The 22730-nt window shown below is 41.1% G+C and overlaps 1 protein-coding gene and 1 pseudogene across 3 annotated transcripts in view; one reads left to right on the plus strand and one right to left on the minus strand.

Annotated features, from left to right (window-relative positions):
- Positions 1–22730, plus strand: part of TRIM49C (tripartite motif containing 49C) — a 42426-nt gene continuing 19696 nt past the window's right edge. The window contains exons 1-8 of one of the 3 annotated variants that reach the window (NM_001195234.1): positions 1–139; positions 1292–1477; positions 4103–4517; positions 4783–4878; positions 6644–6874; positions 7588–7610; positions 8760–8857; positions 9946–10920. In NM_001195234.1, coding sequence (NP_001182163.1) covers positions 4107–4517; positions 4783–4878; positions 6644–6874; positions 7588–7610; positions 8760–8857; positions 9946–10445 — 1359 coding nt within the window. In that variant the 5' untranslated portion in view covers positions 1–139; positions 1292–1477; positions 4103–4106 and the 3' untranslated portion in view covers positions 10446–10920. Of the gene's footprint in view, positions 140–1291; positions 1478–4102; positions 4518–4782; positions 4879–6643; positions 6875–7587; positions 7611–8759; positions 8858–9945; positions 10921–22730 lie in introns of those variants that run through there. The other 2 variants (XM_017018126.2, XM_024448656.2) reach the window with 2 other exon arrangements.
- On the minus strand, positions 21202–21729 carry ANKRD33BP10 (ANKRD33B pseudogene 10; annotated as a pseudogene).

Genomic DNA, 22730 nt, shown 5'->3' on the forward strand with positions numbered 1-22730 from the left:
CTAATCTTCCAGTTGCCCCCTATTGACTTTAAACCAAAGCTTTGATTCATGACCACTGGGATCCAGCCAGCGGGGGATTTCTTTTCCTGGTGGACTGTACCCAGGATCTCACATTTGCTTAAGCAGCCCCCACAATTGGGTAAGTCAAGTCTTTGCACTTAATTCATATGTGAATCTCCCTAACTATACATATATCTTATGGGTTCTGCTTTTGTCTTTGAACCTGGACAGACCTGGGTCTGATAGATTTGTCTTCACTGTTTTGACAGTCTTGACCATAAGTCTTCTGGACCATTGGCAAAGAATTCCTCTATCAGAAGATATTTGAGTAGTCCCTTCTGAAATCTCTTTTTTAAAAAAAATAATTTTCATATAACAACAAAAAGACTTGGTATAGAAAGAAAAATATAGTCCATCTCTATCATTTGGATTCTGTATTTGTGAATTTGCCTATATGCTAAAAGTTATGTGTAATCCCCAAAATAATTCCCGTGGTGCACTCCTAGTCATTGTAGGACATCATGCACTATATGGAGAAAAACGTTAAAATAATAACTCATCTTTCACCCATGAGACTGGTGAAGTTTTGTAAATTCAATGAGAGACCCCAGGTTAGTGGGTTTATTTGGTTAATCAGTGATTTCTCTTAGAGTGGTAGAAAACAGAAAACAAAAAGGAAAGTTTTATCTTCCATTGGACTTCTCTGGAAATATCCTATAAATGTACTAAAGCAGCATTTAAGCTGGATGAGGTGGTTTATACCTGTACTCTTAGCACTTTGGAAGGCCGAGACCAGAGGACCACTTGAAGCCAGGAGCTGGAGAACAGCATGGGCTACAGAGTCATACACTGACGTTACCAAAAATTTCAACAAAAAAAATTAGCCAGGTGATATAGTGTGAGCCTAAAGTCTTAGCTACTTGGAAGGCTGAAGCAGGAGGATTACTTGGAATTCAAGGCTGCAGGGAGCTATGATTATGCTACTGCACTCCAGAAGGAGACCCTTTCTCTAGAATAAATAAATGTGCACTTAGAGGAATGCCTGTATCATGGAAGAAACTCAATAAACAGTATAAAATGCATCTTAGTTAATTTCTAGCCTATGTATGCTCTGACAGGATTTATGTTACATGTGATTCATTCAGGCACTGGTGTTCAGAATGAAAGTGTGATGATAATTTAATCAGAGCTGCAAAGGTGTGTTCTAAATACTGCATAAACCTAATCATCTTTGTCTCCACCTTTCTGAATGCTCTAAATACCCATAAAGAGGTGGGTGTGGTCTTCACAGGTTCTTATAAAAGGACACGGAAGAGACAAGCTCAGTTTTCTCTGAAGGAGAAGGACTGCACTTAGAACTGCATTTTGGCGACCTCTGAAATTCAGTACTGCAGTGAATGAGCTTCTGACCTTGAGGTGAACTTAACAAAATTATTTTTGGAAAAATCGTTGTGGGAACCATTAAAAGAACTCCAGGGTGAGTGAAACATATTGATAAAATTATATCATCTTTCCTTTACACAATAATAAATTAGAGTGTTAAAAATATCTCATTATCTTAAATCTACACAATGATACCATTTGTAACTCATGTTCTTACTATAGATTTTATGAATTATAAGGATACTAATTGTTGTTATTTTGTGCTTTCTATGATTGTTTAATATAGTTCTGAAAAACTTAAAATATCTAGTGTTTGCTGCAACAGATATGTATTCATAATGAATATATGGAGTTGATACATATATGTACACATAGGTGTGTGTGTATATGTATGTAATGAGTGTATTAATATTGTCAAATTGAATTGAGAAGACATTAATGAATGATGAAGTTATTTGCTTTCATAACATTCAGGTTTTAGACATGACTTTAAATTAGTAAGGTAATGATGAGCGATGCAAAATAGTGAAACTAAAACAATGAGAAAGCTCCCCAAAATATCCTACTTTAGAAATCAAAACACAATTTTTCGAACAAGTAAATTTATAAGACCTAATTTGGTATGTGATTGTGATTGTCATCTCACTTGAGTCTCAATCTTATTAAACTGTGAAAAATTTCTTAAAATGTCTTAGATGAGTTCTGGAAAATATTTGCAATTCTAAGATTTTTCACTGCTTTCACTTAAATTCAGAAGTGATATAAAACTAGCAGCTTTATGCTGCTTTATGCTAAAGGATTTAAAATTGCCAAAACAAAGATTATAGTTTTTATATTAGTCAGGGTTCTCCAGACAGAACCATAGGATGTATACATATATGTGTGCAGATACATTCATGGGCCATTTGAGTCAGCCACAGACCACATATGGTGGTCCCATAAGATTATAATACCAATATGTTTACTGTACCCTTTCTGTATTCAATTATGTTTAGATACACAAATAGTTATCATTGTGTTACAGTTGCCTACAGTATGCAGTACAGAACATACTGTACAGGTTTGTAGCCTATTGTAGGAACAATAGGCTATAGTGTATACCATAGGTGTAGTAGGCTATACCATCTAGATTTGTGTGGTATATTCTATCATATTAAAACAATGAAACCGCCTGGCTGGGCACTGTGGCGCGTGCCTATAATCCCAGCACTTTGCAAAGCCAAGGCAGGCAGATCACTTGAGGCCAGAAGTTCAAGTGCAGCCTGGCCAAGATGGCAAAACCCCATCTCTACTAAAAAAATACAAAAATTAGCCAGGCCTAGTGTCACGTTCCTGTAATCCCAGGTACTTGGGAACCTGATGCAGGAGAATCGCTCTGAACCTGGAGGCGGAGGTTACAGTGAGCCGAGATCACGCCACTGCATTTCAGCCTGCGTGACAGAAGGATACTCTGTCTCAAAAAAAAAAACAAAAAAAAAAACTAAAAACACCTGACATATTTCTCAGAACATACATCTGTCCACAAGCTATACATGATTCTACATGGGACAGAATTCATCAGGAAAATTAATTTGCTTGATTATGGAGTCTAGAGAGTTCCAATATAGGCTGTCTCTAAGCTGGTGTCCTGAGAATACCGGTATCCTGGCTAAGCTCAAGTCTGAAAGCTTCAGAACAAGTTTCAGGAGAGAGACGGAGGAAGTTGCCTTTTTTCTGCCTTTTTCTTTATATCTGAGGTGTCAGCTGATTGGATGGTGCCCACACACATTGAGAGATGAGGCTCCCACTCAGCTCACCAGCTCACATGTCTCTCTCCTCTAGAAACACCTTCACAGACTCACCCACAAACAATGCTTCACTAGTTCCCTAGGTGTTGGTTAATCCAGTCAGACTGATACCTAAAATTCACCATCACACTATGGAAATATAATTACACCTCTCTGAGTTTAACAAAAACCTCCTATATGTTAGTTCAGAGCTTGCACAGCCCTAGGGGAAGTTAATTTAATCCGCAAGAAAATAAAAAGACCCAATATCTTTAATAATTTTTCTTTTCCCTACTAGTGAAACTTGATTGGTTTAATTGCAGTCTTTTTCTTTGTTTATTTGGTTGGTTGGCTTTTTTTAAATTTTGTTTTGATTTGGGTCTTTGTTTTTAATTTAATTTAATTTTAAGTCCTGGGATAACTGCAGGACTTGCAGGCTTGTTATGTAGATAAACTTGTGCCATGGTGGTTTGCTGCCCGGCTTTTGTGACCCTCTATAAAAATATGTCATAGAACCATCTTCTCATATTTCTTTGGCCATCTTCTCATATTTCTTTGGCCTGGATAGTTTTTTCCCTCCCACTCTTTCACAGTCATTCATCAGTTATTGAAAGAAGAATAGGGACAACTATGATTTATTCTGACCACTTAGAATCAAAACCCAATTTCCAGATCTATGTTCAGAAAATGGGTAGTTGAATAGGTTTGTATTATGCTACAGACAGGAACTAGGAGTAGAAGGGACTGTGAGTCCTCTGGTTAGTAATATCTGTTATAAAGCCAGGAGACTCCCTCTAAGTGTAAATTTTTAAGTTTGTAACAGAAGAAATAGTTTGTTGTACTTTAATGAACACTGTCAAGAGAAGAAAATATAACTATCACATATCTCCACATGTTTAGAAGCTTTTCATCAACCCAGGCCCCAAAATGACATGTTTCTCTTTGTTCCTCAGAAACATGAATTCTGGAATCTTACAGGTCTTTCAGGGGGAACTCATCTGCCCCCTGTGCATGAACTACTTCATAGACCCGGTCACCATAGACTGTGGGCACAGCTTTTGCAGGCCTTGTTTCTACCTCAACTGGCAAGACATCCCATTTCTTGTCCAGTGCTCTGAATGCACAAAGTCAACAGAGCAGATAAACCTCAAAACCAACATTCATTTGAAGAAGATGGCTTCTCTTGCCAGAAAAGTCAGTCTCTGGCTATTCCTGAGCTCTGAGGAGCAAATGTGTGGCACTCACAGGGAGACAAAGAAGATATTCTGTGAAGTGGACAGGAGCCTGCTCTGTTTGCTGTGCTCCAGCTCTCAGGAGCACCGGTATCACAGACACCGTCCCATTGAGTGGGCTGCTGAGGAACACCGGGTAAGTGATGGCTCTGAAGATCGATTTCTGTAAAGGAAGCATAAAATTCCTGTGGGTCTATTTTCTTGGAGATTAGGTAAAGCCAACTCTGAGTCCCTTTAAGCAGCTCTGTTTGGGCTTTCTTAGCTTCCAACCTCTGGGCTTTGACAAACATGAAGGGAAACAAAGGAAATGCCATTTACTAGGGGCTTATTTGTCTCTCATTCTGGGCCCCCTCCCTATGTCATGGTCTGCACTGGTGCTTCAATTTATGGCTCTTTTGCAGGAGAAGCTTTTACAGAAAATGCAGTCTTTGTGGGAAAAAGCTTGTGAAAATCACAGAAACCTGAATGTGGAAACCACCAGAACCAGATGCTGGAAGGTTAGTCCTGTACTACTCTACCTTCTCCAGGAACTTATGGTGGGCAAATGGGTGACTCTTAAAATAGGAACTTGATATCAAACTGTAATGTTTCTGGGATACAGTAAAAAAAAAAAGGCGAGAGAAAACATTGAGAAAAAGTGGCCTCATTTTTATACAGAATAGTATGCCTGTTAGGTAGGATTTCTAAGAAAACTACTGATGTCACCCAAAGCATGCTGGTTTGTTTCATACAAACCTATAGTTATACACCAACAGATCCAAGAAACTGGGCCATCTCAAAGCATTCTATATTTGCTGGTTGGATAAATGCTAGGCAAAAGGGTTATTTGGCAGTCATGGAATGCTCAACTGAAACTTCTGAGTGTCGGTCAGCATTAATCTGAATGCTAGTGTGCAAGTAGTATTTGGAATTGCATGGAAAATTTGAGGCAGAAAAAGTGACAGGGCAAATCTAGGGAAACCATGAAATTAAGAATCTCAACTAATTAATATTGAATAATACATAACATACGATGAGAAAAGCGGTGAGAAATACGGATTTGTGTCTTGAGGGAGACATGTAAACATGCCAGAAATATGGGAACTAGTATCTAAACATAAGGAGAACTCTGAGGACTTCAGAAAAACATTAAAATAATTTTCTCTTTGTGGATGTATATTTTGAGGGTATGATAGCTAAGATTAGTTTGTTGAAAAGTATTTCATGAGAACCTAGTCTATGTTGAATATTAAATTAGAAAATATACTAGTAAAGAAGAAAGGAAGCACCTTTGTCCTCACAAATCATACAATCCAAATAAGAGAGTCAAATGGTCAATACACAAATATATGCAATACATGATGTATTTGAGTGTGGTAGGTTTTTGTTGGAGAATAATCAAGCAGGGAAGTAGAAAAGGACAATAGAGGCCAGAAACTGGAGATTAGTGTTTGAGTTTTAAATAGGGTGGTCAGAAAAAAGACTCACTGAAAAATTCAAATTGAAACAAAGTTTTCAAGAGGAGGGGGAACACAAATGTGTGTGTGGATATATATGTGGACCATGAGTGTGTATATGTATGTATGTGTGTGTGGTTGTGTGTATATATGTATGTATGTATGTATGTATGTATGTGTGTGTGTTTGTATACATATATATGTAATTCTAGTTGGAGAGAATAGCATATGCAGTAATTTTGAGTTTGTGTATATTTGGAGGCCGGAGGAACCACAAAGAAGTCTATGTTTCAGACTGGGATGACTTAGAAAAAGAATAGAAGGAAATGAATTCAGGGAGACAAAGATGGCCAAATCATAAATGCAGCCTTATTAGGATAGGTTTTGCTGAGCGAAATGCACTTAGCTGGACATGCTAGTCTAAGGTCATTTTCATATAATGAGTTTAAGCAACTTGTTGCATATCTCAGAAATAGAAAGAATTGTTTCCTTTCTAGTAACTATAGCCCTATACTCCAACTCTCAAGCATGAACTGTTCTTACTTTGCCATAAATATGGGTTGGAATAGAGAAATTCAAATTGTGTTTTTTTGTTTTCAACTATCTTAGAAAACACATTATCTTGAATAAATTTAACGTAATTGGTCAGATACAGCTATGTTGATCTTTATGCAGAAAAAAGGAAAGGAACAAAATTTGTAGATTCTAAGAACTGGCAAGACAGAAGTTTGAACTATTGGACGTTCGAGAGACAAAAGGAATCAGTGAGATTTAATAGGAGATGGATATATACATTTCTCTTTTGACTAACCCATTATCACTGCAGGATTATGTGAATTTAAGGCTAGAAGCAATTAGAGCTGAGTATCAGAAGATGCCTGCATTTCATCATGAAGAAGAAAAACATAATTTGGAGATGCTGAAAAAGAAGGGGAAAGAAATTTTTCATCGACTTCATTTAAGTAAAGCCAAAATGGCTCATAGGATGGAGATTTTAAGAGGAATGTATGAGGAGCTGAACGAAATGTGCCATAAACCAGATGTGGAGCTACTTCAGGTAAAAACTCGCCATGTGGTTTCAGGTTTTTGAATATTCACATGTATAAGTATTTTCCTCATGGCTGAAATCCATCTCCCTACTTTTATTTCCATGATGTGTTTCCAAAAACACATTCACATAACTAATGCTACTTTGTTGGGAGAGTATAGCCCCACTAAGGGATTCTACCAGGGCAAAGGTCCCTCCTACTTTATCCACCAGCCACAAAACTTTGTGGAATGGTCAAGGTAACAGCCCCAAGAAATATTCCCCATCTAATTCAATAATATACTTTGGGTTGTTAAACATGTATAGAATAGTGAGTGATTCATTTACATTTAGGTTAATTTGTAAACATGGCAAGATCAGAAGTTTTGGGAATCTAGGTTTGCATTAACATTATTTTGGGGTCCACTCATTTGGGTAACAGGTTCAGTTAAAGATGACTGAGTAGGTTTTTCATGGTTACCACAGACCATAGACCTTCTGGGCCTCTTCTCCCTTCACTTCTTTAGAGAATGTCTTCAAGACTCAGACTTTCCCAGGACGTTAATTAATAACAATACAACTGACTGGGTTTTTCATTACAGAAGAAATAGAAAATACTTTCCAGAAGAGAAGATGGTAGGGAAATAATATCTTCAGAAACTGAGTACAAATCTCACACTGAACTTAGTGAAAGATGCATCTTGTGAAATGCACTAAATCTTTCTTCTTTTTTTTTTTTTCAGGCTTTTGGAGACATATTACACAGGTGAGTGTGTACCTAGATTTTAGCATATGTTCTTTAAGATTCCACGACTATCAAAGCAGGCTCTATTAAAGTCATGGCATAAATAATTAAGATATTGATACCACTTTTTTTTGCATCTACTTTCGTTCCCACACCTTAAAAGACAAGGCCACGAAGTAAATAAATGAATAAAAGAAGAGTGAACTAAAACAAACAATTTGATTCCTGGTTTTGTTTTTTTTTGAGACGCTGTCTGGCTCTGTCGCCCAGGCTGGAGTGCAATGGCGCCATCTCGGCTCACTGCAAGCTCCGCCTCCCGGGTTCACACCATTCCCCTGCCTCAGCCTCCCGAGTACCCGGGACTACAGGCGCCCGCCACCACACCCGGCTAATTTTTTGTATTTTTAGTAGAGACTGGGTTTCACCATGTTAGCCAGGATGGTCTCTATCTCCTGACCCCGTGATCCGCCCGCCTCGGCCTCCCAAAGTGCTGGGATTACAGGCGTGAACCACCGTGCCCGGCCCCTGATTTTGTTTTATTGCTTGAAAGCCTGCACAGGAGAAAGATAAGAGTTTTGTTTTGTGAATGGTGAGAAAGTCACCAGAGGAAGCAGGAGAGAAGAGGAGGAAGTATTTTAGCAGCGAAAAAGTGTTGATGTTTTGTTTTTTATACATATATACATATCAGTTAACAGTTCTGAAAAATAGATTGAAAAAAACTGTGGAGTGTTAGAACTGTATAAGTCTCTAGGGAAGTTCTTTGCTAAAAGGGGAGAGAACAAGTTTCCATTCTTTATCTTGAGAAGGAAGCAGTGGATGCATCAGTCTCCCCAAAACCCCGCTATTTCAGACAAAGATGTCAGGGGAGTCTGCCAAGAAGTGGAACTCAGAATTTCGTTTCTAAATATTCTCAAGGCCATAAAGCTAAGGAACCTTACACATTTGGAGCAAAAAAAAAAGAAGGATCAGATTGGATTCTGGCTTAGATTCTTCCATCATGCTTTAAAATTTAGAAACTGTAAAGAATTAATTTGCAAAAGGAAGGATTAATTTTTGAATTATCAAATGTGTAGATTCAAAGGATTCTCATGAAATGTCTTTTATATACAAATAGTGATTTTTATTTATTTTATGGCTGTAGATGTTGTAACTGCAGGTTTTTCCTTGCAGGAGTGAGTCCGTGCTGCTGCACATGCCCCAGCCTCTGAATCCAGAGCTCAGTGCAGGGCCCATCACTGGACTGAGGGACAGGCTCAACCAATTCCGAGGTAAGTCTCCACCCACAGGCAGCACTCCCACTATCTAAATATTATTATTGTTAGGATCACATAGGTAATATTTCATATTTTATCAAATATTTTACTTCTTTTAAGACATAAGTGAACAATATAACCATGCAACCCTTTGGTATCCGTGTCTGTATTTACAGTCAGATTTATAGCATTAAGTTTGAAAGATAGTGAAAAAGAAATACTTTCTGGCATAATATGTACTGAGTTATATAACGGGAAAAAGGAGTAGTGTAGAAAATTTTAAAAAGGAGCAAATGAAATAATGCTCAGAATGGTGAATTATTTAATGTTAAATACAAAATTGTGCATTTCTTTAGTGTATTCATTTGAACTGCTAAGAACTGTTCTTTAGGGGAATATAGTTTTCTGGAGATTCTTGGGGGTTTTGTATTTTTTTAATGTGTATATATTATTCATATATTGCAAACATTTGAATTAATAGGTAAAGCTAAAAGGAAGAAATCATTTTGTGGATATAAGTAAAATTACAAATGAAAATAAGTTCAGTTTAATTGCAATATGAAGAGCTACATGTTAAGTCTAAAATCCAGCTTCAGCCCAGAGCTAGCATGGAGGACCTCAGAGAGACTGGTCAAAGATTTTGCAGAGATCTGCTTTAAATTATCACTTATAACATGTACATATGGATTTTTATCCAGATATCTAGAGCAGTTCTTAAGTGAAAATCTTCACATTCACATTCTTTCCAAAATGATAGCACTAGTTTTTAAGAATAAGAAACATTTCTAAATAATGATCTTGATAACAGCATTGCATTTAGGGCATATAATGTGTAAATTTTACTTTGAAAATTGGATTGAAAGAAGTTGGTCTCACATTTGGCTCTCAATATGTAAGTTTTCAAAAAAAAAACATAATATCTGTGGTTAGGGTTTTGTTTGTCTTGTATATAATATTAACCATCTCTATACTTTACTAGAAGTTACAAGCAAAACTTTTTATGACTTTACATTTGCTGGTAAAGTAACTTCTTGATAGAACAATTATTTTTTTCTTATTTACACATGTCTATGCATGTTTTCTTTTTTTTTTTTTTTTTGCAGTGCATATTACTCTGCATCATGAAGAAGCCAACAGTGATATCTTTCTGTATGAAATTTTGAGAAGCATGTGTATTGGATGTGACCATCAAGATGTACCCTATTTCACTGCAACACCTAGAAGTTTTCTTGCATGGGGTGTTCAGACTTTCACCTCGGGCAAATATTACTGGGAGGTCCATGTAGGGGACTCCTGGAATTGGGCTTTTGGTGTCTGTAATATGTATCGGAAGGAGAAGAATCAGAATGAGAAGATAGATGGAAAGGAGGGACTCTTTCTTCTTGGGTGTATTAAGAATGACATTCAATGCAGTCTCTTTACCACCTCCCCACTTATGCTGCAATATATCCCAAAACCTACCAGCCGAGTAGGATTATTCCTGGATTGTGAGGCTAAGACTGTGAGCTTTGTTGATGTTAATCAAAGCTCCCTAATATACACCATCCCTAATTGCTCTTTCTCACCTCCTCTCAGGCCTATCTTTTGCTGTATTCACTTCTGACCAGAGACAAATCAGAAATGTGTTCACATGCTGTGGGAACCCCTTTATCCCAGGAAGTCCTCTTCCTTGTGCCTTAACATACAGGACAAATAGGCTCTATTTTATGTCTTGAATTGCCTTCTAATGTTATCAAAACTCATTTATTGTGTTACTATTAAATATGCTGAAAACGCTAAAAGTATACGTATTGGTTCTTTATTAAATAATTTTTGAAAAATCATTATTCATGATCATGGCATACAGTATATTCTCTTTTTTTTCTTTATTTATGACTGTCACTGAGTGAAATAATAGATGACAGACATGTCTGAATGAAGTAAAAATCAATGGAAGACAGTCGGGATCTTTTGCTTCATGCAAAAAACTTGGAGTGAAGTCTCAATGATAACTGGGAAATGTTTTTCTTCCTCTTTATCTAACTATATTACACTTATCCATCAGGTTTCATTGTATTAATCTATCCTTTGAGGTAATACTATTTGACCTTCTATGCTGGGCTTTATTTTGCAATTCTCACCACAGATATAAATAATCCTTCATTATTAGTGTGCTCGTCTACATTGAAATACACAATGTGATCAGAACAATGCTGGATTAATTGAAATTTTTTTTAAAAAGTAACTAAATATTGACTCCTACCTCAAACCATACACAGTCATTTCCAGATAGATTGAAGTCCTGAAAGGAAGGGGAACCTGATACAATATTCTCATAAGGATTTCTTAACCAGGGCACAAATTAATAATTAAAACAATTAGTTCATTTATATTGATAATGATGACTTCTGTGTTTCAAAAAACATTATGCAAACCAGTAGTGGAGAAAGATATTCACCCCAACATACATAAAGTAAAATATAATACATGTATATGATGAATACTTAAATTGTAATAAATAAAAGACAGTGAACTCAACAGAAGATTGGCTAAAATATCTGAACAGACACTTTACAGAATTGGATACATAAATAACTAGCCAAATATAAAAAAGTGCTCACTTTCATTAGTCTTACAAAAGTAAGAATTAATCCACCAGTTGTACCACAGGCCCTCATAAAAAAATACCAAAATTTAAAGACACAATATTGTGTGTTGTCAAAGATACAGAATAAATGAAATTTATTCATGGCTGGAGAGATGTAAATGGAAATCCCTTTTGGGAAACTGACTATTAGCATTTCTTATGGGCTAGATATTCTAATTCTAAAATATAGTCAACTGATTGCCTACATATACTTCAACATACACAATATTGTTCACTGCATCAATTTTTATAGTAGCTCCAAATTAGACCCAAAATATTCTTCAACTGTAGAATAGCTAAATAAATTTGGTGTATTTATGCAAAATAATCCTATAAAACAATAAATAACTCACTGAATGCAACAAAGCTGATGAATCTCAGAAACAAGTTAATAAACATATGCCAATTTAAACGATAAAATTGAAGTTAAGAAAAGACTTTTCCATGTATATAATATATTGGTAATTGTAAGCTCTTTATGGGTTCCATAATTACATGAACGCTGTGGAATTATAACTTTTAAGACCCAAAATGTCAAATAATGCATAAGGTAGTAGAATAAAATAGGAGCCCAGGCATGGTGGCACACACCTCCAATCCCACCACTTGGGGAGACCAAGGAGTGAGAATGGCTTGTGGCCAGGAGTTCCAGACCAGTGGAGGCAACACAGTGAGACCTCATGTCTACTAAACATTCCTTTAGAAATCAGCCTGGCATGATGGCACATGCTATAGTCCCAGCTACTCAGGGGGCTGATGCAGCACGATGGCTCGTGCCCAGAAGGTCCAGGCTGCAGTGAGCCATGGTGGTGCCCTGCAGTCCAGCCTGTGACAGAATGACAGTCTGTCTCATAATAAAACAAACTATAATTACTTGATATAACACAAACCAATATATTATAAATACGCTAATTATAGGTATTTTAAATATTGATTTATTTAAAATAACTGAGAAAGCTGGGATAGCTACATGTTTGCTTAGACCAGACAAAAGTGCCTTGGGAAGTAAGTTTAAAGTATTTTTATTAGAGTAAGTGAGGATGAAGTGCTTTATTACCAATGTGATACACACCAGAATCTGCTATGAATAGTCTCATGTCTAGAGGATTTGTGGATATCTAGGTAAGCAGTAATTATTGGGTGCCTGAAGCCTAGCAGATGCATATTCAGTGTGTCTTCTCTGGAGATGTCTTCTCTGGAAAGTTTGATTTTTTTTTATTATACTTTAAGTTCTAGGGTACATGTGCACAAAGTGCAGGTTTGTTACATATGTATACATGTGCCATGTTGGTGTGCTGCACCCATTAACTCCTCATTTACATTAGGTATATCTCCCAATGCTATCCCTCCCCCTCCCCCCACCCCATAACAGGCCCCTATGTGTGATGTTCCCCTTCCTGTGTCCAAGTGATCTCACTGTTCAATTCCCACCTATGAGTGAGAATATGCACTGTTCGTTTTTTCGTCCTTGTGATAGTTTGCTGAGAATGATGGTTTCCAGCTTCATCCATGTCCCTACAAAGGACACGAGCTCATCCTTTTTTATAGCTGCATAGTATTCCATGTTGTATATGTGCCACATTTTCTTAATCCAGTCTCTTATTTTTGGACATTTCGGTTGGTTCCAAGTCTTTGCTATTGTGAATAGTGCCACAATAAACATACGTGTGCATGTGTTTTTATAGCAGCATGATTCATAATCCTTTGGGTATATACCCAGTAATGAGATGGCTGGATCAAATGGTATTTCTAGTTCTAGATCTTTGAGGAATCGCCACACTGTCTTCTACAATGGTTGAACTAGTTTACAGTCCCACCAACGTGTAAAAGTGTTCCTACTTCTCCACATCCTCTCCAGCACCTGTTGTTTCCTGACTTTTTAATGATCGCCAATCTAACTGGTGTGAGATGGTATCTCATTGTGGTTTTGATTTGCATTTCTCTGATGGCCAGTGTTGAAGAACATTTTTTCATGTGTCTGTTGGCTGCATAAATGTCATCTTTTGAGAAGTGTCTTTTCATCTCCTTCACCCACTTTTTGATGGGGTTGTTTGTTTTTTCTTGTAAATTTGTTCGAGTTCTTTGTAGATTCTGGATATTAGCCCTTTGTCAGATGAGTAGATTGCAAAAATTTTCTCCCGTTCTGTAGGTTGCCTGTTCACTCTGATGATAGTTGCTTTTGCTGTGCAGGAGCTCTTTAGTTTAATTAGATCCCATTGGTCAATTTTGGTTTTTATTGCCATTGCTTTTGGTGTTTTAGACATGAAGTTCTTGCCCATGCCTATGTCCTCAATGGTATTGCCTAGGTTTAATTCTAGGGTTTTTATGGTTTTAGGTCTAACATTTAAGTCTTTGATCCATCTTGAATTAATTTTTGTATAAGATGTAAGGAAGGGATCCAGTTTCAGCTTTCTACATATGGCTAGCCAGTTTTCCCAGCACCATTTATTAAATAGGGAATCCTTTCCCCATTGCTTGTTTTTGTCAGATTTGTCAAAGATCAGATGGTTGTAGATATGTGGCATTATTTCTGAGGGCTCTGTTCTATTCCATTGGTCTATGTCTCTGTTTCGGTACCAGTCCGATGCTGTTTTGGTTACTGTAGCCTTGTAGTATAGTTTGAAGTCAAGTAGTGTGATGCCTCCAGCTTTGTTCTTTTGGCTTAGGATTGACTTGGCTGTGAGGGCTCTTTTTTGGTTCCACATGAACTTTAAAGTAGTTTTTTCCAATTCTGTGAAGAAAGTCATTGGTAGCTTGATGGGGATGGCATTGAATCTATAAATTACCTTGGGCAGTATAGCCATTTTCATGATATTGATTCTTCCTATCCCTGAGCATGGTGTGTTCTTCCATTTGTTTGTATCCTCTTTTATTTCATTGAGCAGTGGTTTGTAGTTCTCCTTGAAGAGGTCCTTCACGTCTCTTTAAGTTGGATTCCTAGGTATTTTATTCTCTTTGAAGCAATTGTGAATGGAAGTTCACTCATGATTTGGCTCTCTGTTTCTCTGTTACTGGTGTATAAGAATGCTTGTGATTTTTGCACATTGATTTTGTACCCTGTGACTTTGCTGAAGTTGCTTATCAGCTTAAGGAGATTTTGGGCTGAGACGATGGGGTTTTCTAAACATACAATCGTGTCATCTGCAAACAGGGACAATTTGACTTCCTCTTTTCCTAATTGAATACCCTTTATTTCTTTCTCTTGCCTGATTGCCCTGGCCAGAACTTCCAATACTGTGTTGGATAGGAGAGGTGAGACAGAGTATCCCTGTCTTGCACCACTTTTCTAAGGGCATGCTTCCAGTTTTTGCCCACTCAGTATGATATTTATTGGCTGTGGGATTGTCATAAATAGCTCTTATTATTTTGAGATACGTCCCATCAATACCCAATTTATTGAGAGGTTTTAGCATGAAGGGCTGTTGAATTTTGTCAAAGGCCTTTTCTGCATCTATTGAGATAATCACGTGGTTTTTGTCTTTGGTTCTGTTTATATGCTGGATTACATTTATTGATTTGCGTATGTTGAACCAGCCTTGGATCCCAGGGATGAAGCCCACTTGCTCTTGGTGGATAAGCTTTTTGATGTGCTGCTGGATTCTGTTTGTCATATTTTATTGAGAACTTTTGCATCGATGTTCATCAGGGATATTGGTCTAAAATTCTCTTTTTTTGTTGTGTCTCTGCCTAGCTTTGGTATCAGGATGATGCTGGCCTCATAAAATGAGTTAGGGAGGATTCCCTCTTTTTCTATTGATTGGAATAGTTTCAGAAGGAATGGTACCAGCTCCTCCTTGTACCTCTAGTAGAAGTCAGCTGTGAATCCATCTGGACCCGGACTTTATTTGGTTTGTAGGCTCATAATTATTGCCTTAATTTCAGAGCCTGTTATTGATCTATTCAGGGATTCAACTTCTTCCTGGTTTAGTCTTGGGAGAGTGTATGTGTCCATTTCTTCTAGATTTTCTAGTTTATTTGCGTAGAGGTGTTTATAGTATTCACTGATGGTAGTTTGTATTTCTGTGGGATCGGTGGTGATATCCCCTTTATCATTTTTTATTGCATCTATTTGATTCTTCTCTCTTTTCTTCTTTATTAGTCTTGCTAGCAGTCTATCAATTTTGTTGATCTTTTCAAAAAACCAGCTCCTGGATTCACTGATTTTTTGAAGGTTTCATTGTGTCTCTATCTCCTTCAGTTCTGCTCTGATCGTAGTTATTTCTTGCCTTCTGCTAGCTTTTGAATGTGTTTGCTCTTGCTTCTCTAGTTCTTTTAGTTGTGATGTTAGGGTGTCAATTTTGGATCTTTCCTGCTTTCTCTTGTGGGCATTTAGTGCTATAAATTTCCCTCTACACACTGCTTTAAATGTGTCCCAGAGATTGCAGTGTGTTGTGTCTTTGTTCTCGTTGGTTTCAAAGAACATCTTTATTTCTGCCTTCATTTCGTTATGTACCCGGTAGTCATTCAGGAGCAGGTTGTTCAGTTTCCATGTAGTTGAGCGGTTTTGAGTGAGTTTCTTAATCCTGAGTTCTAGTTTGATTGCACTGTGGTCTGAGAGACAGTTTGTTATAATTTCTGTTCTTTTACATTTGCTGAGGAGTGCTTTACTTCCAACTATGTGGTCAATTTTGGAATAAGTGCGATGTGGTGCTGAGAAGAATGTATATTCTGTTGATTTGGGGTGGAGAGTTCTGTAGATGTCTATTAGGTCTGCTTGGTGCAGAGCTGAGTTCAATTCCTGGATATCCTTGTTAATTTTCTGTCTCATTGATCAGTCTAATGTTAACAGTGGGTTGTTAAAGTCTCCCATTATTACTGTGTGGGAGTCTAAGTCTCTTTGTAGGTCACTCAGGACTTGCTTTATGAATCTGAGTGCTCCTGTATTGGGTGCATATATATTTAAGATAGTTAGCTCCTCTTGTTGAATTGATCCCTTTAGCATTATGTAATGGCCTTCTTTGTCTCTTTTGATCTTTGTTGGTTTAAAGTCTGTTTTATCAGAGACTAGGATTGCAACCCCTGCCTTTTTTTGTTTTCCATTTGCTTGATAGATCTTCCTCCATCCTTTTATTTTGAGCCTATGTGTGTCTCTGCACGTGAGATGGGTTTCCTGAATACAGCACACTGATGGGTCTTGACTCTTTATCCAATTTGCCAGTCTGTGTCTTTTAATTGGAGCATTTAGCCCATTTACATTTAAGGTTAATATTGTTATGTGTGAATTTGATCCTGTCATTATGATGTTAGCTGGTTATTTTGCTCATTAGTTGATGCAGTTTCTTCCTAGCATCGATGGTCTTTACAATTTGGCATGTTTTTGCAGTGGCTGGTACTGGTTCTTCCTTTCCATGTTTAGTGCTTCCTTTAGGAGCTCTTGTAGGGCAGGCCTGGTGGTGACAAAATCTCTCAGCATTTGCTTGTCTATACAGGAGTTTATTTCTCCTTCACTTATGAAGCTTAGTTTGGCTGGATATGATATTCTGGGTTGAAAATTCTTCTCTGTAAGAATGTTGAATATTGGCCCCCACTCACTTCTGGCTTGTAGAGTTTCTGCCGAGAGCTCTGCTGTTAGTCTGATGGGCTTCCCTTTGTGGGTAACCTGACCTTTCTGTCTGGTTGCCTGTAACATTTTTTCCTTCATTTCAACTTTGGTGAATCTGACAATTATGTGTTTGGGAGTTGCTCTTCTTGAGGAGTATCTTTGTGGTATTCTCTATATTTCCTGAATTTGAATGTTGGCCTGCCTTGCTAGGTTGGGGATGTTCTCCTGGATAATATCCTGCAGAGTGTTTTCCAACTCGTTTCCATACTCCCCATCACTTTCATCACCAATCAGACACAGATTTGGTCTTTTCACATTGTCCCATATTTCTTGGAGGCTTTGTTCACTTCTTTTTACTCTTTTCTCTCTAAACTTCTCTTCTCACTTCATTTCATTCATTTGTTCTTCAATCACTGATACCCTTTCTTCCAGTTGATCGAATCAGCTACTGAAGATTGTGCATTCATCACGTAGTTCTCCTGCCATGGTTTTCACCTCCATCAGGTCATTTAAGGACTTCTCTACCTTGGTTATTCTAGTTAGCCATTCATCTAATCTTTTTTCAAGGTTTTTAGCTTCTTTGCAATGGATTCGAACTTCCTCCTTTAGCTTGGAGAAGTTTGATTGTCTGAAGACTTCTTCTCTCAACTTGTCAAAATCATTCTCCATCCAGCTTTGTTCCATTGCTGGTGAGGATCTGCATTCCTTTGGAGGGGGAGAGGTGCTCTGATTTTTAGAATTTTCAGTTTTTCTGCTCTGTTTTTTCCCCATCTTTGTGGTTTTATCTACCTTTGGGCTTTGATGCTGGTGACGTACAGATGGGGTTTTGGTGTGGATGTCCTTTCTGTTTGTTAGTTTTCCTTCTAACAGTCAGGACCCTCAGCTGCAGGTCTGGTGGAGTTTGCTGGAGGTCCACTCCAGACGCTGTTTGCCTGGGTATCAGCAGCAGAGGCTGCAGAACAGTGAATATTGCTGAACAGCAAATGTTGCTGCCTGATCGCTCCTCTAGAAGCTTCGTCTCAGAGGGGTAAGTGGCCGTGTGAGGTGTCAGTCTGCCCCTACTGGGGGTGCCTCCTGGTTAGGCTACTCAGGGACCAACTTGAGGAGGCAGTCTGTCCGTTCTCAGATCTCAAACTCTGTGCTGGGAGAACCACTACTCTCTTCAAAGCTGTCAGACAGGGACATTTAAGTCTGCAGCGGTTTCTGCTGCCTTTTGTTCAGCTATGCCCTGCCCCCACAGGTGGAGTCTACAGAGGCAGGCAGGCCTCCTTGAGCTGCAGTGGGCTCCACCCAGTTTAAGCTTCCAGGCCACTTTGTTTACATACTCAAGCCTCAGAAATGGCAGGCGCCCCTCCCCCAGCCTCACTGCTGCCTTGCAGTTTGATCTCAGACTGCTGTGCTAGCAATGAGTGAGGCTCTGTTGGCGTGGGACCCTCTGAACCAGACGCAGGATATAATCTCCTGGTGTGCCGTTTGCTAAGACCATTGGAAAAATGCAGTATTAGGGTGGGAGTGACCCAATTTTCCAGGTGCCATCTTTCACAGCTTCCCTTGGCTAGGAAAGGGAATTCCCTGACCCCTCGAACTTCCTGGGTGAGGCGATGCCTCATCCTCCTTCAGCTCATGCTAGGTGGGCTGCACCCACTGTCCTGCACCCACTGTCTGACAAGCCCCAGTGAGATGAATCCAGTACCTCTGTTGGAAATGTAGTAATCACCCATCTTCTGCATCGCTCACGCTGGGAGCTGTAGACTGGAGCTGTTCCTATTCGGCCACCTTGGAACCCAAGTTTGATTTTTAAATGATTTTTAACTTCCCATGGCGGAAACAGGAAGGAATGCCTGGCAATCCAACAAGGGTCAGATGCCACATCAACCTGAGCAGAAGCTGCCTAACCCTGGCTATTCCAACGACAATTAGACGTTCTTGGGAAGGTGGAGCCCTTTGTGGGAGCTCCACAAAGTGGCCACTTAAAGGTGACCGAGGCCTCTCAAAATCCCTGTGTTAGAGCTGCAGCTCTCCATGTGGGCTGCAGTGCAGTCACCAATGGAGCTTTAGGACAGGCCCAGAGCTCATCTCCCTGGACCAGTGCCTTGAGAATTTTCGCAGCAGGGATAGCCAGCTTGGAGAAGTGTGCCTGGGAGACCATGTGGCACTGCCTGGCTGGGTCCTCAGCTGACAGAGGTGAGGGTAGGGCTCATGGTGACTTGGTAACGCTGTGAATTAGGTACGTGTAGCAGGAAGGTGCCACAATGCCAAGGCCCCATGTTTTGGAAATTCCATGAGGTCCACATGAGGTTGAACTAAACACCAAGTGCAGTCCTCAAAGGAAAAATAAAATAAATACCCACATAAGGGACTCTTTGGAACTGAGTCTGGAAGAGAGGGCTGCCTGGTCCACTCCAGGAGAATTTGCCTAAAACAAGTTTGCTTCCCACTGCATTCTCTTTGCTTGTTGTAAACATCACCTCCTCCCCATTCCTTTATTTTGCATCATTCTGGGCTCCTTACTCTTGTTGCATCCTTTATTACATTTTAAGGATGCCTGGATTCGATTTACTTGAGTGCATATATGGCTTAATTTTGTATTTCTGTTAATCATTTATTATATTTCCCCCATTTTATCGAATGACACGTTTGTCTCATATCTTTTTTTAATATGTTAAAGATTTTGTATCCAGTTTATCTAAAACTCCTTGCTTAAAGTGAGTTTAATTCTAGCAATACCTACATGCTTATCTTTGCATTGTTTTATAATTTGACGATAAAAGTTTTTCCCCAATATACGACTGTATGGATAACACTTTTTAAAAAGATACAATAAAATCTGATCTCTCTGTCTCACTTGATCATGTGGCTGAACGAGTCAATCCCTCCAACAAATAGAAATATCCAGCATCACTTAATCTAATTAATAAAAACATCCAGTGTGCACGTGCACCCATGATGAGAAGAAAAGACAAAGCAAACAGCCCAAAAGGAGAGAATCCCATGATTTCTGTGTAAACTCCTACAGATATCATAAATATTTATTGCTAGGAACAGTATTTTAAATAAAAGGTCTTCAGGCAATTGTATTAAAACTGCCTTGGATACAAGAGGTCCTATAACTTGTAAAAATTGGCAAATTGGATAACGATTAAAAATACAAAATTACACAGAAAATACCCTTTAATAAATTGATTTTTTTAAATTGAGACAGAGTTTGGCTCTCGTTGCCCAGGCCGGAGTGCAATGGTGCGATCTTGGCTGCCTGCCACCTCTGCCTCCAGGGTTCAAGCGATTCTCCGGCCTCAGCCTCCCGAGTAGTTGTGCCACCATGCTCGGCTGATTTTGTATTTTTAGTAGAGACGGGGTTTCTCCATGTTGGTCACGCTAGTCTCAGACTCCCAACCTCAGGAGATCCGCCTGCCTTGGCCTCCCAAAGTGCTGGGATTACAGGCATGAGCCACCGCGCCCGGCCTAATAAATTGATCTTTAAAAACATCTTAACGGAGGTTCTCTAAAGGGAGCCTTTTAGGCAACATGCCCGCTAGGTGTACTGATTGCTAGGGTGGCTGGTGTCAGGCGAATCGATGTGGCTCCCCCAGCCCCTTCCTGGGAGCATCCTAGAGAGATAGCGCGGAAATACACGCGGCCCGGTGGTCCCGGGAGCAGCCACGGTGCCCAGCCCCGCGGCCTTGCCCTGCCCTCAAACCCCGTGTCAAGCACCCGCGGACTCTCACGTCCTCTTCTTCCAGGGCAGCGGGCGCTTCTCCTGCACCTTGGCCTGGCGCTTCTTCTCGGCCTCCTCCGCCTCGGGTTTCTCCTCCTTGGCCACCTTGTTATGCCACTTGGGTATCTGCAGGTGGCCGCTGTCCTTGGTGCTGCCCTTCCGCGCTGCCCTCTTGGGCTGGAAGGTGGGCGCGGGTGCCTTGCTGAGGCGGACCCGGGGCACCACCATGCCTGGCCACAAGCTGCTCCGCCGCAGGCGCTGCAGGGGCAGGAGGCTGGCCTTCCGCAGGGAGGGGTCGGCAGAGCCCCAGGACCCCGGCAGCGGGGCAGGTGGGAGGCCGGCTCTTGGGGATTCCTCACGGGAGCCCGCCGCCTCTAGGCCAGGCCGCTTGTGCTGCTCTGCGCCCTCCGTTTCGCCCGCCACCTGCGCCTGCCGCCCCCACCGACCCCACGCCGCGCCGCCAGAATTTCCTGAGTCGCCAGGATTTCCTGCACCGCCAGCCGCCTCTTCCCCACGCACAGGGTCCTCTCGGGGCACACGGTCTGGCACGCGAAGGCCACGGCGGGGCTGTTAGAGGCTCGTGGTCATCCTGACTATGTGGTCCAGGGCGCCCCGGTCCTCTGGGCCACGCACGGCGCCCGGCGTCAGCGCGGACAGCTCGCAGTTCCTGACCCTCTGCAGGCAGGCAGTTTTTGGAGCCCTCGGGCTTCTGCGCCCTCTCGTGGAGCGGAGGCAGCTCAAGCTGGTACTTTTCCCCCAACCGCTCCCGGCAGGGGCGCTCCAGGAGCCTCTGCATGAGGCGGACGTGTAAGTGGCCACTCCTCTGGCGACATCCCACGGCAGGGACCCTCGTGTGGACACCCGCCCCTACTAGCTCAGGGCTCCGATGTGATCGGTTCGACCCTGCATGGCGGCTTTCAACCCAAACGCATCCCTCCTTCAAGGTCAAGACCCAGGACATAGTTCAACAAGTAGTTGGTGATGATAGCGTGCCCTGACTGGGCCAGAACAGCCTCTTTAGTAAAATAACGCAGGGAAGTCATGAAACAGATGCTCAGCTCCTTTCTTCATTTTCACTTTAATTCCGTGATGCCTCTGTGTCCGTCTGACGACATCTCTCCTGGGGTCTGGGACTCTGCTGGTCTTCAATGCCTACTGAGAAGGGTTCCTGGCCATTATCAGGCATGAAAACCTCAAAGCCCTCCGTCCTCAACGTGGGATCCCTGGGCCAGCGGCATCAGCCTCACCAGGAAACCTGTTCTTCTGCTCATTCTTGGGCCCCACCCCAGGCCTATTCAAAGAAAGACTCCAGGGGCAGGGCCTGGCAGCCTGTTTCCACCAGATCTGTGTTAAAGCTCAAATGAACCAGCCCAGTTGATGCTGACGCAGGAAGGGCAAGGCTGAGAGCCAGTGTCTAAGGCAACAGTGCCCATGGGGCCAGGGGCAGTTCCTGCCTGTGCAGCTATGATTAGGGCTGCGTTCCCCTCCCTGTCCTGCCAGTTGACATCAATGTGGGGGTACTCAGCTAAGGCCACCACGGTATATCCACAAAGTCGTGGTATCAGGCGACATTAAGGCCAGTCCAGCCATTGTGGTCAGTCTCCCGCGCCTTCTTAAAGCTCACCCCACACCGCACCAGCGTCCGCCTCTGCCCCGCGCCTCCAGGACGCCCTCCTCCGGTACGCTCTCCACGCCCTCGACGCCGTGCTCCTCCTCGTCCTGGAAAGGGTACAAAGAGTCGTCAGAGGCGACGCTGCGAGTGTCGGGCAGACTGGAGAAGTCCTGGAACTCTTTGAATTCAGTGCGGTCCTCCTCGACCTGTGCGCCTAGGAGTGGGGATGGCGGTGGCGGGATCATGCAGCGCGCCCCGCCACCCTGCGGCCGAGTCCCAGCCAGCAGCACCATGCCGGAGGCGTGGGCGGGGGATCGCGGCACCGTCCGGGAAAGCCTAGTGCCCGCCAAGGTCCCTGCTTCTCACTACTGAGACCCCAGAGAAGCCCTAGCT

This window comes from Homo sapiens, chromosome 11 (assembly GCF_000001405.40).
Source record: "Homo sapiens chromosome 11, GRCh38.p14 Primary Assembly".
NCBI classification, from domain to species: Eukaryota; Metazoa; Chordata; class Mammalia; order Primates; family Hominidae; genus Homo; species Homo sapiens.